The following is an 18,458-nucleotide window of genomic DNA, read 5'->3' as shown; positions in this document are numbered from 1 at the left end:
CCAGTTCATCCCAGAGTCTACACAGAGTGTCTACCCAGCAGCTCCATCCCTTTTCCAGCCCTGTGATCTGCCTTGGACCTTTCTGAACTAGGCTCACTCAATTTGACCTTCAGGATGATGTAGGGCCCCCTGGAATTCAGCATCTTCCCTCCCAGCCTCTTCGGGTGCCCATCCTGCCCAGCCCTCCTCGCTGGCCCCAGCAAGAGACAGATTTGAAAAGTCAGAACTGAAGAGAAGGACATTTAGGACATGCCCCAGAGAGTCCTGGCCTTCCTTCTCCTCCGGGAAGTAGACGACCTACTCACCCATCTTCAAAATCCTCATCATCTCATCCTTGAGGCTATTTTCCACAATGAACGTTGGAGATCACGTTTGTCATGAGTTGATGGTTTCTAGGGTGATTTTTCCCTTGAGAAAATCTTGACTTCCTTACACAGGAGCTGGCTGTGTGTGGTGCAAAGGGAAGAGAGAGATGCATTGCTAAAGAGTAGAACAGATATCTTTGACGCAGAAAATGAATCCCTGGCCTGTGCAGGAAAATGAGAAAAGACAGGGAAATGGAAACCTTCCTCCCAAATATCCCAGGACCCCCGAGTATCTGCTAGCAGCCAAGCAGCCATGCGGCCTGTGTCTCCACTGAGCTCTAGGAGAGACCCTCAGGGCTGCTCTAGGGGAGAGATTCCAGCCAAGCTGCCAATAGTAGCATTAGTGTCAGCCCTCCCAGCTTTCTCCTCTTTTGTGCAGGTAAAGGAATCACCCGTCATCTCTACTACCCTTCACTGAACCCTTTTCTTCCTTATCATGCCACCCTAGGGGCTTAAAATCTCTGCCATAAGAGTCAGAACCCCCTTCTGCGTGTCTCAGAGCCCCTCCCCATTGCCTGTTCCAGCCTGCTGTCCTTTGGCTCAAACCTTTGTGCCCACTGACCTCTGCTGTGCTCATCAGCTTCCAGCACCTGCCTTACACTTGCTCTGTCTCTATTGCTTTTTTGTACCCATTTAGCTGATTGACTGGCCTCTGCCCTTCCTCCAGGACAGGATGGCTTAGCTTTGCGAAGCCTCTGCGGGGAAGGAGCCCACATGAGCCAGATGCACACCTGCCTGGGCAGTGCGTCCTGCCTCTGATGGGCCAGGCCTTCACTCTGCCAGGGCCCTGATCTTAGCTGTGACCAGCCACCCCACAACCTACACCATTGTAGACACATAGTGGCCAGCGTGGACTGCAGCAGCTGCTTAGCAGTTGTCTGGGCCCATTAGACTCCTCCCTCTATCTGAGGCTCTCCAGACTTGGGTCCAGGGCCTGACAGTCTAACCACAGTCATCTGTTCTGCATGTAGCAGAACAACCACCTTCTAGAAATGTAAAAATATCTTTACCTTCCATTTATTGGACTATTTTCTTGTCTCCAACTACAACAAGGAAAGGAGCCAAAGAGGACCACTCGAGTGACATCCCTGGTGTATACACTGGAAAAGCGATAATAAGCAGAGCGTGGACCACTCCGGATCTCACTGTCGATGGCCCTCTCCCAGCCCTGCACTCCCACAGAAGTTGGGTAAACCTCTGTCAAACACCCATCAGACGTTAATGTCACATTAATTTTGCACATGATGGTCTCTCCTTCTAGAATTTAAGTTTTTTAAGGGTAGGGAATGTATCTTCACCCATTCTTGTATTCCTTCAGGCATTCATGTTATCAGTCAACAGCATTTACTGAGCACCTGCTTTATGCCCAGGCCCTGCCCTAGACCCCGGGATGCAAAGATAAATAAGATATAGCCCAGGCTCATGCCTGTCATCCCAGCACTTTGGGAGGCTGAGGCGGGTGGATCGAAAGGTCAAGAGATCGAGACCATCCTGGACAATATGGTGAAACCCGTCTCTACTAACAATACAAAAATTAGCTGGGCGTGGTGGTGCGCACCTGTAGTCCCAGCTACTCGGGCGGCTGAGGCAGGAGAATCACTTGAAGCCAGGAGGCGGAGGTTGCAGTGAACCAAGATCGCGCCACCACACTCCAGCGTGGCGACAGATAAATAATATACTGTCCCTGTCCTTGAGGCTCCCAGTCCAGTGATTGGTAAATAGATGTTTATGACTCAGCATGACAAATTCAATAATAGAAAAATGCAGAGGACAATGTGAGTTAAAAGGAAGAAGCATTTTCCCCATTTCAAGAGGTCAAAAAACACATCACAGAGAAGGAGGTTTCTAAACTGGGCTTTGAAGGATGACTAGGAGTTCTTTGGGCCAGAAAGACATTGCAGAAGTGAACACGTACCAACATCATTGATAAAACCTCAGCAATTGTTGTGGTTCCTGGCACATAGAAAATTCTCAGGAAAAGTTGCTGAGTTGTACTAAGTGAGAATATCGTGACTGACGGAAACCCAGTCCAAGGACTGGGGAAAGAGGGCCCCATCCTAGCTCCTCTGCCTCAAACCTGGAGACACATTGAAGTCATTTGGAAAGTGTGAGAAAACACTGATGTTCCAGTGTCACTCCCCACCGCCCCCACCCCAGAGATCCTCATATAATTGGCCGGAGAGGCTGCCTGGTCTTTGAGACTCTTAAAAGCTCCCCAGGTGATTCCAATAGGCTGCCTTGTTTGAGAACCACTGATGTAGACCAGTGCTTCTCAAACTTAATGTGCAAATAGATGCAGGCAATCTTGTTAAAATGCAGATTCTGACACAGCAAGATGGGCCTGAGAATCTTCATTTCTAACTAGCCCCTGGTAACACCGCTGCTGCTGGTCCTGGGACCACCATTTGAGTAGCGAGGCTCTCTGAGGCTTAATGCCCAAAGGCAATTCAGCTGGCCTCAGCAATGTGCCTGCATGCAGCGGTGATATTCCAAATCCGAAGGGAAGGGTACATGTGGGGGCACCAAGTGCCCAGAATGGATGTAGCGGCCACAGGTCTGAAGGCTCTGCTGCCCCTGGTGTGAGTTAACTTAGTTGTGGGTGGGGAAGATGTTAGGGGGAGGGCTGGGCAGTCAAGGCCACAGGGGGTGCCTGGGAGAGGTGGGGACAGCAGCCTGTTTACCCACCTCCCTGTTGTAAGAGCTGACATCGAATACCGGTGTCTACCAGCTGGCTGTCCCCCCACCCACGGCCTGCACCCAAGGCCGAGGAACAGCCAAGAAGGCCTGGCGAGCAGCATCCTACGGAGAGGACAGCGAGGAGGCCGCCTTGGCAGGAGCTGCCTGCTGGATAAACATTGTTCTGTTTTTTTCTTTTTTCTCTTCAAACAAGCCCTTCTCAGCACTGGCCACATCATCCTAAACAAGGCCTCTCAGTGCTGTTGACACAAAGGCAGAGACGGTGTCATTCCAGCCCAGAGATAAAACTCGGATCCTCCCACAATGGTGGGCACTTCGTCTCGGGAAGAACACCAGTGAATCAGGAAATTCAGCAAGCTGGGTCTAAGCCCTGCCCTCAGGCTAGGCTCAGGTTTTTTGTTGGTTTGGGTGGATTTCTTCCTCCCCAAAGCTCTGCTTGTTTCATGTGCCTGGTCAGCAGATATGTCAGCCCCAGACAATGGCCTCTTTCTGCAGACAATGGTCAGCATGAGGAATGTCGCAGGAGGGCAGGGCTTGGGGAGGGACAATCCCGCTTTCAGAAGTCAGTGGCCGAGTGGGTGCTGCAGGGAGGGTCCTGCTGTCACCAGGGCAGCCTCCTCAAAGGCACCATTTATAGGACCTGCAGCCCCAGAAAAGTGGAAGCTTTGGGCAGCAGCAGAATCAGAGAGCAGCTCCCTCGCCCGCTGCTCCCGGCAGACTCGCCCTGCCTGCTTTATCGGCCTCCCGAGGCTCCTGCAACCACAATTCCTACCATGCAGACTTTGTTTAATGAAAAAACAAATAGTTACCCCCAAATTAGACCGAGGCCTGCTGTTCCCTCAGCCGCGCCTCCTGCAGTACCCAGCCTGTGCCTCATTGGCCGGCTCTCCAGAAAAGAAAGGGCTCATTCATCCCCAAAGGTGGAAACTCGCCTTCTCCCAGGGAAATTGTGTAACCGTTTTGTAGTGGAACCGACTACAGGCCTCAAGGTCTTTTGCAAAAAGAAAAACAGATAAGGGGGCGGTGGCGGGAGCCAATGCTGGCTGTCTTAGATTTGCTCATTGCAGAATGATTTTCTGACAGAGATCATAGGCCCACAAGTCACATCAGCTGGTCCCTGGATTTCAAGGATCCTCACTGTGATTGGAAAATTAAGTGATAGCCATGCATGCATGCATTTATTCATTCATTCCTCCAGCACAATGTATGGCACATAATAGATGCTTAGTAAACATGTGTTGAATGAATGAAATGTTTTGTAATATCTGATTCTATCTCTCCATGCTCAGAAAACCTTCAACAGCTCCCTATTGCCTATATTATCAATTTAATCTTTCTTAGCATAGCTTACCACTTGTAACTGGACCCTCAAATACCTCTCCAACCCTACAACCTCCACATGCTCCCAATCCCACCCCTCCAACACGCACATATGCTGCCTACTGTTTCTTGAACCAAACCATTGTTGTGTGAGCCTCTAGGCCTTAGTCCCAGCTGTCTCTTAACCTCAAGGCCCTTTCCAAGCTTCTTGTAGGGATCTGGTGAGTTCCTCTCCCATGAGACTCAAGCCAGTGTTTACTCCTCCTCTTAAAAGCCATCGCTAAATATAAAAAATTAGCCGGGCGTGGTGGGGAGCGCCTGTAGTCTCAGCTACTCAGGAGGCTGAGGCAGGAGAATGGCGTGAACCCGGGAGGCGGAGCTTGCAGTGAGCTGAGATCGAGCCACTGCACTCCAGCCTGGGGGACAGAGCGAGACTCCATCTCAAAAAAAAAAAAAAAAGCCATCGCCAAAGTGTCAGGCTCCATAGCCTCACTCTTGTTCATGGCCCTATCATGACACTTGCCACTCTTCCTTCTATCTTCCTGTTGCAACCATGCTGTGCACTTCTTGAGAGTGAGAACTGAGTCTGACTTACCTCCATATGCCCAGTGGGGGCCCAGGGTCCAGTCCATCATAGATCCTCAGTAACTACAGAGACCAACTAGTCCTGGTTTGCCCAGGACATTCCTTGTCTTAGCACTGAAAGTCCCACATCCCGGGACACCCCTTAGTCCTAGACAAACTGGAACTGTTTGTCCTCACATCAGTAAATGAGTAGTGAATGAATAATGCCTAGGTCTCTATTCATTAGTTCATTCACTTAACACACATGTAGTAAAAATCTGTGAGCCAGGTCCCATGCTCATACAGTTAGAGGGTGTTTCTAAACAGCTTCATGGCCCAGCATTGCAAAAGGACAGCTCTTTGGGGTTGAGTTAGCCTCAAGTCCATGGGGCACCTTTCCTAGATTCCTGTTTATCTCCTCCGCTATCTCTTCCAGTATCCACACCACGTTGTTTACAATGCATCTGTTGACATCTGCCTTATCTCCCTGGATTTGCTCTGGGCCTCCCTGGGTCTACTGCCCTCAGAAAGGACGAGCCCTCTAGCCTGACAGAGGAATTCCTAGCTAAGGTTTTATAAGTCAAAAGACCCACACTGGAGCTTGGGTCCCAGGGCAGCCCCCAGCCCTGGGCCCTCAGAACGAGAGCGATTGCAGCCAGGACGCATGTGTCTGCCCAGCCGTCCTCAGACCCTGGGGCTGCTTGGACCCATCTGTTTCCCAGTTCTAGGTCAAATCAAGCTGAGAAAGGATCAGGCTTCATTTGACCTGAGATGGCTGGAGCATCTGGCTGCTCCCTCTACCTCCCCCACCCTGGCGAGATGAGCCTAAGTCCCCCATCCCCCTCGGTGGGCTCTCGGAGACGCCATCTTTTCCCTGGTGATTTCAGGGCTTCTGGGAAGTGTGACCCAATAGAGGCCACAAAGACAGACACATGTGGCTTGAATCCCAGCTCAACTACTTAGCTGAGTGGCTCTAGGTAAATTCCTTAACCTCTCCACGCTGTCTCATTTAAGCAGGGATATTGATAATGCTCACTTTGCAACATTGTTATAAAGACTATAGAAGATTTACCAGGTGTCCAGCTCCCTGTCCAGCGCACAGTAGGCGCTCCAACAAGCAAACAGAATCAACAACCATTTGCAGTTAGTTCATTCAGCACCTTAGAACCAGGCCTGTACCTTTTGGCATCTCGCTCTGCTAGAGAAGGGCTAGTATCACTCACCAAGTCCTTCCTTATTTAAGATGTGCTCCCCTCTAAGAGGAAGGCCCAAGCTGCAGAAGCTGCTTCTAACCAAGATGATGAATAAAAGTTGTTCCTTCAAATTGGAAAGTTCCTAAGAATCTTTGGTTAACGAAGGACAAGAAAAACAAATATTAACAGATGGATTTCTTTTTAATCCGTGCGCTAAAACCGCACAATAGAAATGTTGAAAGTCTCCAACTGTTGATTTGAAAGCCCGGCATGAAGGTAAATACGAGGCACCTTGATATGTGACCATTTGGAGGTCACACTTCGAAGAAGCTATAGTCAAAAAGCCCTCTCCTTCCGCATGTTGAAATGATTTTCTTTCATCAAAAAAGCAACGGCCTGGCTCTCCAGGAAGCAGAGCCTGTGAGTTGTGTGCATAATGGACAGTCACCCTTTTAAAATACACATGAATTTAACCAACCTGCGTCATCCACGTTGCCTCCACTGCCTTTGCCTGTCATCTGGACAATTCTTAGCTCACCTTCCAGTTTCCACCTTTCCATATAATCTTAATGTCCCTATTTATTTCTTGCTTGTTTCTATGAACACTTTTTTTATTACATCAAAATTAATAGATTTGCACCACAAGAAGTCAGCACTACTGAACGGCAAAACTATGATATTTTTGGAAAGCCCCTCCAAGTTTTGCCTTGTTTCTCAGCAGTAGCCCTGAATTAATTACTTTAGGGAAATCTTTTGATCACAACTTTGCATGTATGTGTCTGGACTCACATACATTTAAGAATGTGCTGGCATGAGCGCACCCAGGCACATAAAAAGGATGAATATCCTAATGGTCAAGTCATTGTACAGCAGATGTGACACAGGCAACTCTGCACATCAATAGCAGGTTGCTTTCTATTGTATTCTATCTTTTTAAAAGTCAGGTTGGAGAAACACTGGAAATTAATTGGGATAGCCATAAAGACAACATTTGAAACATTACTGCACATGCCATACCCATTTTTCCCAATTAGTCTTTTGAAATATATGCTTTTATTCCTAATTTCTGAGTAATTGTCCACTTTGGAACTCCTACAAAGTGGGTAGGTATTTAAGAACCATGATGACCTATAACCTTTGACCCAAGGTGATCTTTACTGGGGGGACCCGTGAAAGATTGATTTGAGCAGAGCTGAGTTAGACAAACAAGCCATTCACATAACTTCAAATCTGGAGGCAAATCAGGTAAAAATGTGAGCAACCTTTGTGGCCTGGAATTTCCTGTCCCCATAGTTAGAAATTAGGACAATACTCCTAGCTTCGGCAAGTATTGATGAAGAAGTTTCTATATCTTCTTCAAATAGCCCCATAGAATGATCCAATAGGGCATCTAGGTCCCGTCAATGGCTGAGCTGCTTTCCTGCCAAATACCTTTGAAAAGGAACCCAAAGGGGTGCCTTTCACATAATTTAGAGCAACAGCTCTTAATATTTCCATCACAAGCACTCCTTTAAAAAAAAAATCTTTTCTCCAAAGAGCCCAGTTTTGGGGAGACTCTATTAAACAAACTACACTAACTTGTTTTCCAAATTTTCTGTCATCAAAACACAGGAAATTGCATGAAAGCTTCTGATGGAGTTGAGGTCACTGGAGCTGCCACATGGTGAGGACATGATTACAACCAGAGAAAAACTGGTCAGTGCTTTGTGCCCCGGTGAGGCTGAGTAAAGGCTTTTTTTTTTTTTTTTTTAGATGAAGTCTCTCTCTGTTTCCCAGGCTGGAGTGCAGTGGCACAATCTTGGCTGACTGCAACTTCTGCCTCTTAAGTTCAAGCAATTCTCCTGCCTCAGCCTTCTGAGTAGCTGGGACTACAGGTGCACACCACCACATCCAGCTAATTTTTTGTATTTTAGTAGAGACAGGGTTTCAACATGTTGCCCAGGCTGGTCTCAAACTCCTGAGCTCAGGCAATCTGCCTGTCTCAGCCTCCCAAAGTGCTAGGATTATAGGTGTGAGCCACTGCGCCCAGCCTAAGGCATGATTTTAGCTACCTTGGGGCAAAATGTTTAACTGTCAATGATCATTCCAGAAGCCTTGGCATGGAGGAGCCCAGGCTGGGAACCCCTAACCCTGAAGCTTCATCGCCTCCATTTCTAAGCCCATGTCATGAGAACAAGGTGGCAGAGAAGGAGGGTGTAAGAGCCAGATGGAGGCTTTGTTTGTTTTCCCTAAAGTGTTATTTATTGTTAAACAAAGGAAAAAATTTGACATTAATGAAAATTTTAAAACAGAGAAGCATCAATAGTAATCCTGTGACCAACGTTTTAATTTTCTTCTACAACGTTTCCAAGCTTTATCCACATGTACACCCTCACTATCTGTGGATTCCATACTTGTGAATTCACCTACTTGCTAAAATGTATTTGTAACTCCAAAATCAATACTTGTGGCACTTCTTGGTCGTCCACAGACATGCACAAAGTGGCGGAAATTTTGAGTAGTTCCACACATATGTTCCCAGCAGAGTTTGAACAGGACAAGTTCTGCCTCCTTGTTTCAGCTCACATACTGTAAATGAGCATCCCTTTCACAGACTATTTAGTGCCCACGTTTTTTGCATTTTTGTGCTTTCTTTTGGAAATCTGTCTGTTTTAAATGGCTCCTAAGCATAGTGCTGAAGTGTTGTCTAGTGTTTCTGAGTGCAAGGAGGCTGGGATGTGCCTTACAGAGAGAATATGTGTTAGATGAGCTTCATTTCAACATGACTTCAAGGGCTATTGGCCATGAGTTTCATTTTAGTGAATCAACAAGATTCTGTCTTTGGATAGAAGCCTGCATAAAATAAAGTCATGAATTAATCAACTAACAAAACATTATAACCAGAGGCTCTCAGGACTCTGTGTTCCTCCTGGAGGCAATGGTTCAGCATTCACTAATTCAGTGTTCATGGCGATATGGTTTGGCTGTGTCCCCACTGAATCTCATCTTGAATTGTAGGTCCCATAATCCCCATGTGTTGTGGGAGGGACAAGGTGGAGATAATTGAATCATGGGTGCAGTTTATCCCATCCTGTTCTCGTGATAGTGTGTTAGTTCTCATGAGATCTGATGGTTTAATAAGGGGCTTCCTCCTTCACTGGGCACTCATTCTTCTCCTTCCTGCTGACATGTGAAGAAGAACATGTTTGCTTCCCCTTCTGCCATAATTGTACATTTCTTGAGGCCTCCCCAGCCCTGCAGAACTGTAAGTCAATTAAACCTCTTTTCTTTATAAATTACCCAGTCTAGGGTATGCCTTTATTAGCAGAATGAAAACAGACTAATACAGTAAATTGGTACTCAGAATGGGGCACTGCTGTAAAGATACCTAAAAATGTGGATAACGGGCTGAAGTTGGAACAATTTGGAGGGCTCAGAAGACAGGAAAATGTGGGAAAGTCTGGAACTCTCTAGAGACTTGGAGGGCTCAGAAGACAGGAAGATGCAGGAAAGTTTAGAACTTCCTAGAGACTTGAATGGCTTTGACCAAAATGCTGATAGTGATATGAACAATGACGTCCAGGCTGAGGTGGTCTCAGACGGAGATGAGGAACTTGTTGGGAACTGGAGTAAAGGTCACTTTTGCTATGCAAAGGGACTGGCTGCATTTTGCCCCTGCCCTAGAGATCTGTGGAACTTTGAACTTGAATTTAGACTATGTGGCAGAAGAAATTTCTAAGTGGAAAAGTGTTCAAGAAGCAGAGCATAGAAGTTTGGAAAATTTGCAGCCTGATGATGTGACAGAAAAGAAAAATCCATTTTCTGGGGAGAAATTCAAGCTGGCTGCAGAAATTTGCATAAGTAATGAGAAGCCAAATGTTAATCACTAAGACAATGCGGAAAATGTCTCCAGGGCATGTCAGAGATCTTCACTGCAGCCCCTCCCATCACAAGCCTGGAGGCCTAGGAGGAAAAAATGGTTTTCTGGGCTAGGCCCAGGGCCCCATTGCTCTATGCAGCCTCGGGACATGATGCCCTAAGTCCCAGCTGCTTCAGCTCCAGCCATGGCTAAAAGAGCCAACATACAGCACAGGCCATTGACTCAGAGGGTGCAGGCCCCAAGCATTGGTAGCTTACATGTGGTGTAGAGCCTGTGGGTACACAGAAGTCAAGAATGGAGGTTTCAGAACCTCCACCTAGATTTCAGAAGATGCATGGAACTGCCTTTCATGTCTGGGCAGAAGTTTGTTGCAGGGGCGGAGCCCTCATGTAGAACGTCTGCTAGTAGGGCAGTGCAGAAGGAAAATGTGGGGTCATAGCCCCCACAGAGTCCCCATTAGAGCAACTGCCTAGTGGAGCTGTGAGAAGACAGCTACAGTCCTCCAGACCCCAGAATGGTAGATCCACCAACAACTTTCACTATGCTCCTGAAAAAGCCACAGGCACTGAACACCAGCCCATGAAAGCAGCTGGGAGGGGGGATGTACCCTGCAAAGCCACAGGGGCAGAGCTGCCCAAAGCCATGGGAGCTCACCCCTTGCATCAGCATAACCTGGATGTGAGACATCCAGGAGATCATTTTGGAACTTTAGGTTTAATGACTGCACTATTGGATTTCATACTTGCAAGGGGCCTGTAACTCCTTTGTTTGGGCCAATTTCTCCCACTTGAAATGGGTGTATTTATCCAATGCCTGTACTCCCGTTGTATCTAGTAAGTAACTAACTTGCTTTTGATTTTACAGGCTCACAGGAAGAAGGGCCCAGATGAGACTTTGGGCTTGGACTTTTGAGTTAATGCTGGAATGAGGTAAGCTTTGGGGGATGGTTGGAAGGGGATAATTGTGTTTTGAATCATGAGGACAAGATATTTGGGAGGGACCAGGGGCAAAATGATAGGGTTTGGCTGTTTCCCCACCCAATCTCACCTTAATTATAGTTCCCATAATCCCCACATGTCCTGGGAGGGACCAGGTGGAGATAATTAAATCATAGGGGCAGTTTCCCCCATCTTGTTCTTGTGATAGTGAGTTAGTTCTCACAAGAGCTGATGTTTTTATAAGGGGCTTCCCCCTTTGCTGGGCACTCATTCTTCTCCTTCCTGCTGCCATGTGAAGAAGGATGTGTTTGCTTCTCCCTCTGCCATGATTGTAAGTTTCCTGAGGCATTCCCAGCCCTGCAGAACTGTGAGTCAATTAAACCTCTTTCCTTTATAAGTTACTTAGTCTCAGGTATGTCTTTGTTAGTAATGTAAGAACAGACTAATAAACTTATAAAACATAACTATTGTGAATAACAAAGCTTAATTGTACTTAGAATTTCTTTTCCTGCTTATTTCAGTTAATATATGATAAGCAATTGTCATTGTTGCCATACATGAATACTCCTTTGAGTGGACAAGCCATCGTCTACTTTACTATTCCCTTATTGTTGGGCCTCCAGGTTATTTCCAACGTTTCAATTTTATAGACGAGGCTGCAAAAAGAATCTTCATGGATATAGTGTGTGAGCTCCACAAAGACACCTATTATCTACAAGTCTGCAGCCTCAGAGCATATTTCAGTGCTTGACATATAGTTTATCTCAATAAATGTTTATCAAGTGAGTGAATGACATAAGTTTGGACAATGATGATCAGGGGCAGTCAGTTCAACAGGTAAGACTCTTGCTAGGTGTTCAATAAATGTCTGTCCCTTGATGCCTGAACAACTACTGATTACCACCTGCTATGTCTCTGTAGCCAATACTGTGCCTGCATCTTTACTTTCATTATATTGTTTAATCCCCACTACCTTTGGAGGTAAATTTTATTAGCCTCATTTTACCAGTAAAGAAATTAAGATTTATATAAGTCATCTGTGAACAGTCATGCAGCTGACTAGAGCCCCTGCTGTGACTGTAGCTCAGGTCTTGGTGATTTCAAATACTCTGCTTTTTCTACTGCACCAGGCTGGAGCCATCTGTGGTCCTGAGCCTTGCTGGCACAGCTCCTGTGGTCACCAGATCAGAGGAAGCAGGATCAGCCAGCCTCCTACAAAGGCCATTGGGACACATAATCCCTAAGGCTCTGCTTTCTCCTCCCCTCCCCATAATTCTCCCACCTGAATTCCTCCTTTCTCCTATAATCACACATGCCTGACATGATGGCTGTTTCTTTTCTCTGGTCCTGGGCTCTGCCTCTATGGAGGTAATTGGCAGGCACTCAGCCTTCAATACCTTGTCCCAGGTTAACTGAAACTCACACCTGACTTGACTGTGATGTGGGGATGGATGCAATGATGCAAGGAGGGCAGAGGCTATTGGATTCCAGAAGGTTTTCAAGGTGGGGGATTTGATCTCCTCTTTTGATTTGAATGGACCTGAGTTGGCGGTGGGGATGTGAGCAATGTTGGGCCTTTCTTGACATTTATAAAAAACGAGGTAAAGATGGAAATGAGGCTTATTTCCTCTACATTTCAGAAACACAGGGATCATCTTGACTGGTATCCCCTCAGGGAGGGGATGTCTGATATTAGGCATAAACCCTCAGCTTTGAGATCATTAACAGCAGACCTCAGACATGCTGGTTGCTCCCAAAACCAGGGCCAGCAGCTTCTTGCAAAGTCAGAGGCACACTTGTTGGCTTGTCGATAACCCTTCTCATCTGCTATTTTGCAAAGCACTTAAACTGCCATCATGGTCTCAGTCTTACAATGCCATCAGGGAGGAAGAGAGAAGATGGTGTTTCCTCCTCTGGGAATGTCCTTCTCCTCTTACCTGCCTGAGGCACTCCCACTTCTCTTTTGGAACCCAGGACTAGTGGTTTTCTTTCTTGGAAGACTTCTCAGTCAGAATTCCCCAGAAGTAGTCACAGAACCCCCTTTGCCCACACTGCACCTGATAGGTTCGTTGTACCCAATATCATATCCTAAAAACATAGGCTTGTATGTCTGTCTCTCTTGAGGGCAAAAGTTGCATCTCATCTAACTCTGGTCCCAAGTGCCTATATAGTGTCTGTCACATAGAAGGTATTCTGAAAGCATTGAATGACCAAGTGGGAGAAGATAAAGATCAACTTCTTTAAAAGAAGATGCAATGCCTTCTTGCCCTTTTTATTATATATATATATTAGAGCTAGGGTCTCACGCTATAGCCTAGGCTGGAGTGCAGTGATACAATCATAGCTCACAGTAACCTCAAATTCCTAGGCTCAAGTGATCCTCACACCCCAGCCTCCTGAGTAGCTAGGACTACAGGCACATAACACCATGCCCAGTTAATTCTTTTTTTAACTTTTTGTAGAGATGAGGGTCTTGCTATGTTGCCCAAGCTGGTCTCAAACTCCTGGCCCCAAGCATTGGGATTATAGGCATGAGCCACTGTGCCCAGCCCCTTACCCATTTGTTTAAGTACCCGAAAAATTCAGTGTTATTTTTGAAACACAGAGTCTTTGAAGGGGAAATTAGGTCTAAGTTATCCTTTCATGCAAGAGTCCTCTTGTTAACATCTCAGAAAAAATAATTGTTCAGTATCTCCCTGGACATCCCCATTAATGGTGAGCTGGGGGGATTTTTCATCAATCCTAACTTTCTTTAGGAATCTGCCTTCATCATCACTTACAGCCCCTGAGACTCTGGAAGATGGAACAACAATTATAATAATAACACTCATGGTTTGTCCATAATAATGTTTATCATAGCAGCTAACATTTATTGAGAACTTATGTGCCAGGCACTGTTCTTGGTGGTTTACTTATTTGATCCTCATATTGACCCTCTGAGGTGATGCGATTATTATCCTCATTTTATAGACAAGACATTTGAGGACCAGAGAGGTAAAATAACTCACCTAAGGTCACACAGCTAATAAAGTGCAGAGCTAGGATCAGAACCCAGATGGTGTAGCTCCAGAACCCACATCCTAACTACCATGTCTGCTACCCTTTGGAAATGAATGAATGGTGTGTCTTAATGCACCAGGTCCAATCATAGCCCTTTTCCATACACCAGCTCACTTACCACTGGGGAGAGTCCTGTGACGTAGACAAGCGAATACCCCCATTTTACGGAAGACCAACCTGGGAGATAAGTCACACACCACATCCCTCACATGGTACAGGCTCCATGTACCATAACTGGACCAGGATAGCACCAAGGACATTGCCTCCTGAATAAGGATGCTGTGACTCAGAAAATGCTTATTTCTTTCTATGCCAAAACTCAATTTCTACAAATTCATTTTGGATCTATCAGTACACACCTAGAATGCCCAAGAGGTCTCTTGCCTCTTTCCCCACTCTGGGCCTCAGTTTCCTCAACTATAAAACACAAAGATCCTCTCTTACCCTGGCATAGCGTTGAATTTTTAGCTGAGGTCTAGGGAAGAGGAGGAGGGAAGAGGGGGAGCAAGAGGAGGAAGAGGATGGAGATCATCACTTCCCAGGGGAGTCATTCAGCAGCAGGATCCTGTATTTTAGAAATGGGCCAAATGAGGAGAACCTAGAAAGAGCAGCAAAAGCAAAACCAAGAGAAAGCTACCAGTCTCCTAGTGATGTCCTCAAGACTCTGTTTTCTGTTTCTAACTTAGAAGGTAAAAAATACTCTGTAGAACATCACCCTTCTTAGATATTCTAATAGTAACCTGGCCTAGCTTCATTTTCAGGCAGTGGAAGGGGCTGGTGCAGACATACATATCTTAAAATCCCTCAAATGGGCTGGGCGCCATGGCTCATGCCTGTAATCCCAGCATTTTGGAAGGCCAAGGCAGGCAGATTGCCTGAGGTGAGGAGTTTGAAACCAGCCTGACCAACACGGTGAAACCCTGTTTCTACTAAAAATACAAAAATTAGCCAGGCATCTTGGCATCTGCCTGTAATCCCAGCTACTAGGGAGACTGAGGCAGGAGAATCGCTTGAACCCAGGAGGCAGAGGTTGTAGTGAGCCAAGATCGCACCATTGCACTCCAGCCTGGGCAACAAGAGCGAAACTCCATGTCAAACAAAACAGAACAAAACAAAAAAACCTCTCAAATGAGCGATTCTAACACTCTCCTCCCACCCTCACCTCACCCCACCCCATGCTCCTGCTCTCCAAGGCTCCTTCGCCAGCTGCCCTAAGATTAATTGTCCAAAAGAACACCAGGTGGGGACCCAGTGGGCGTGTCCCATTGACAAGCCATTTTGCAAGAGTTGAGGCTTGAAAGTCCACCTGGAGAGCAAGTGGGGCCAGCTGCTCTCGGGACAAACTGCTGCACCTGCTGGGCGGGCTCCCCAATGCCACAGCCCTGGACAGCAGTGAAGAATCAGCTCTTTGTGAGTTGATTTGTGGTTTGGGCTTCTTCCACCACAGCTCAAGTCAGCACCATGGGCCATGCAGTCTACACTGCTGGGGCACCCCGTGTGCACAGGTCACATGGCATGAGGCCCCTCAGCTTAGGGTAAACTAGAGGCAAAATGAGAGGCTGCCCCCTACTTGGTGGCCATTGGGGGAACCTGTGCATTCTCTCCCAAAAGGGAAAAATGAGGAGGTGAGACACTGGGGCCCTCTGCCACTCGCCACTCATGCTAAGGAAGGAGCCAGGCTTACCTGACTGTGAGGCAGGCTGAGTGGCTTGGCCCTCCGGGGGCCTGCCTGGCCAGCTGGGGTGGTCTATCTACCCACGCACCTGTAGGATGAGCATTCAAAGGTCAGGGCCTGGCCCACCTGCTGCACATAGAACGGGAGCTTCATCCCTCATGCTTCCAACAAATGGGCTAGACAGGGTGAGGCAGAAACCAAGGGAAAACAGTACAGCTCGGTGACCCCCGGCACTTCCTCGGGCAGGTTGTCTCAAAGTATAAACTTGGAAGGTGGGGGATGAGGAAGCCAGGCTCCAGCAACGCCACCGTCATCAGCAGCAAAGCTGAGACCGAACCTCCGTCTGCTGGCTTCTGTGTCTGCTGTTCAGCTGGCCTCAACTCAGAGGGAATCATAGGGTATAAGCAGAACCATGGCTTCTGTGATAACGTCAGGGAGAAAAGCCTGGCCCAAATGTGCCTGCCCATCCCAAACTCAGCACTCTCTGCAGGGGGAGCCCAGGCTTAGGACACACACCCTCTTCCTATACCATCGAAGGAAGGCATCTGGTACAAAGGACAGATCACCCACCCTGACAGGAAAGGGTCCTAGTGCAGTCTGACCACTTCTCCTCTCAGGGCCTTGTTTATCTGTAAAACAAGGATGAGACAACAGCAAAGACATGGCATCAACCCAGGTGCCCATCAATGGCAAATTGGATAAAGAAAATGTGATACACATACACCATGGAATAGTATGCATCTGTAAAAAGGAATGAAATCATGTCCTTTGCAGCAATATGGATACAGCTGGAGGCCATTATCCTAAGAGAATTAATACAGGAACAGAAAACCAAGTACCCCATATTCTCACTTATAAGTGGGAGCTAAACATTGAGTACACATGGACGTAAAAATAGGAACAATAGACACTGGAGGATACAAGGGGTGAGAGGGAGGGAGGACGGCAAGGGTTGAAAAAAAAACTACTAGAGGCCGGGCGCGGCGGCTCACGCCTGCAATCCCAGCACTTTGGGAGGCCGAGGCGGGCGGATCACGAGGTCAGGAGATCGAGACCATCCTGGCTAAAGTGGTGAAACCCCATCTCTACTAAAAATACAAAAAATTAGCCGGGTATGGTGGCGGGCCCCTGTAGTCCCAGCTACTCGGGAGGCTGAGGCAGGAGAATGGCGTGAACCCGGGAGGCGGAGCTTGCAGTGAGCCGAGATCGCGCCACTGCACTCCAGCCTGGGTGACAGAGCAAGACTCCATCTCAAAAAAACAAAAAAACTACCAGAGTGACGGATTCATTTGTACTCCAAACTTCAGCCTCACACAATATACCTTTGCAACAAATCTGCACATGTACCACCTGATTCTAAAATAAAAATTGAAAGTGGAAAAAAAAAAGTGGGGAGGAGGCGAGAATACCTGGTTAAATGAAACAATTTGCAAACCCTAATGTGAAGAATATTGACCACCATCAGAGGGAATCAGGTCTGGGAGTTCTGGGCCTGGCCTGGCCTTCCTCGGACCCTCTGTCCTGGGAACCCTGCAAGGCCTGCAAGTGTATATCATCGTGCTTTCTAGATCTGGGGCCCCAGGCATTGCTGGACCCATGGTGGGTGCTCACTCTGAGCTGGTGAGGGGAGGACTCAGTTCCATTTATGAAACTGGCAGGTCTCAGTGTGGCCTCTCTCCTCTCCCACCTGCCAGCTGCTATGCAGGCAAGGCTTGTGAAGACTTTCAGAACTCTGCAAGGGCAAAAGTACAGACACTATGTTGCATACGTGAGGCTGGAGACCTTCATTTCCCATTTAGAAAAGCTGACGTTGAGCACTCCCATTGGGAGGAACGAGGAGCCAGCTAGAGCTTTCTCCCAACTAAAACTGCTGCCAACCAGAGAAGAGAGTTCCCTGAGGACCAAGAGAGAGAGTGCACGGGGCTCAGTTGAGCTCCTGGGCATTGCTGTTTAGCCGGGCCAGGAAATAGAAAGAGGGGGGTGTGGGGGCTCCAGCCCTCAGAATCTGCAATTGTCTCTTGCCCCACTCCCTCACAGATGTGGCAGGCAGAGATAAATGAACAGCAATCAGCAATGAAACTTCCACTTTCTAACAAACTTGGTGAAGTGCACCTTCTATTTTTAACTGGCCCAATTTCTCAGTCACATCACATGACTCCTATTGTCTTGTCTGAGAATTATGAACAAGAAAGAGAGAGAGAAATTGGGCCATATTTTCTAGTGCAGTAAGGTGATGAACTCTCTAGTCGCATGTATATTTCCTCTTTCATTTGCAATTTGCTAAGTAACCTTAGAGAAAAAATGCGCCTTTTTACAACTTTGGTGTTCTATTTAAAGAAACTAAGAGCCATAAAATGACCTTATTGAGGTCACATATAAAGTTCTGAGCTAAATAAGAAATTGCTTTGGAAAATATGTCAATGTTCTAGGTTCATTTAACTTTGGGAGTTGCAGAAACTACTTTGCTGTGGAGGTTGGGTGGGTTTATCCTAATTGTTTCCAGTTCATGTAAAATTTCATCTTATATTGGGTAGCACTCTAGGATACTAGGAAGGTTTTTGTTTTTTTTTTTTTTGAGACAGAGTCTTACTCTGTCACCCGGGCTGGAGTGCAATGGTGCAATCTCGGCTCACTGCAACCTCCACCTCCCGGGTTCAAGTGATTCTCCTGCCTTAGCCTCCCAAGTAGCTGGGATCACAGGTATGCGCCACCATGCCCAGCTAATTTTTGTATTTTTAGTAGAGACGGGGTTTCACCATGTTGGCCAGGCTGGTCTCGAACTCTTGA

The 18,458-nt window shown here is 47.1% G+C and overlaps 1 long non-coding RNA gene across 1 annotated transcript in view, besides 2 other annotated features; it reads right to left on the bottom strand.

The window, feature by feature from the left end:
• GACAT3 (gastric cancer associated transcript 3) overlaps positions 1-18,458 on the bottom strand; it is a 35,263-nt gene that overhangs the window by 11,942 nt on the left and 4,863 nt on the right. The window contains exon 2 of the long non-coding RNA NR_126559.1: positions 306-444. This is a non-coding gene — a long non-coding RNA (gastric cancer associated transcript 3). The remainder of the gene's footprint in view (positions 1-305; positions 445-18,458) is intronic.
• Positions 15,608-16,108: an enhancer, noted in NCBI's record as "H3K4me1 hESC enhancer chr2:16197762-16198262 (GRCh37/hg19 assembly coordinates)". NCBI's record gives its function as "activates a minimal SCP1, AML or CMV promoter by ChIP-STARR-seq in naive H9 embryonic stem cells {active_cell/tissue: H9 hESC(naive)}" and the evidence as "EXISTENCE:reporter gene assay evidence [ECO:0000049][PMID:30033119]".
• Positions 17,678-17,757: an enhancer, noted in NCBI's record as "active region_15348". NCBI's record gives its function as "activates an Ori minimal core promoter by ATAC-STARR-seq in GM12878 lymphoblastoid cells {active_cell/tissue: GM12878}" and the evidence as "EXISTENCE:reporter gene assay evidence [ECO:0000049][PMID:35858748]".

Source organism: Homo sapiens, chromosome 2, assembly GCF_000001405.40.
Source record: "Homo sapiens chromosome 2, GRCh38.p14 Primary Assembly".
Lineage (NCBI taxonomy): Eukaryota > Metazoa > Chordata > Mammalia > Primates > Hominidae > Homo > Homo sapiens.
Note: the sequence above shows the minus strand (reverse complement) of the source record. Positions and strands in the feature narration are given on the sequence as shown.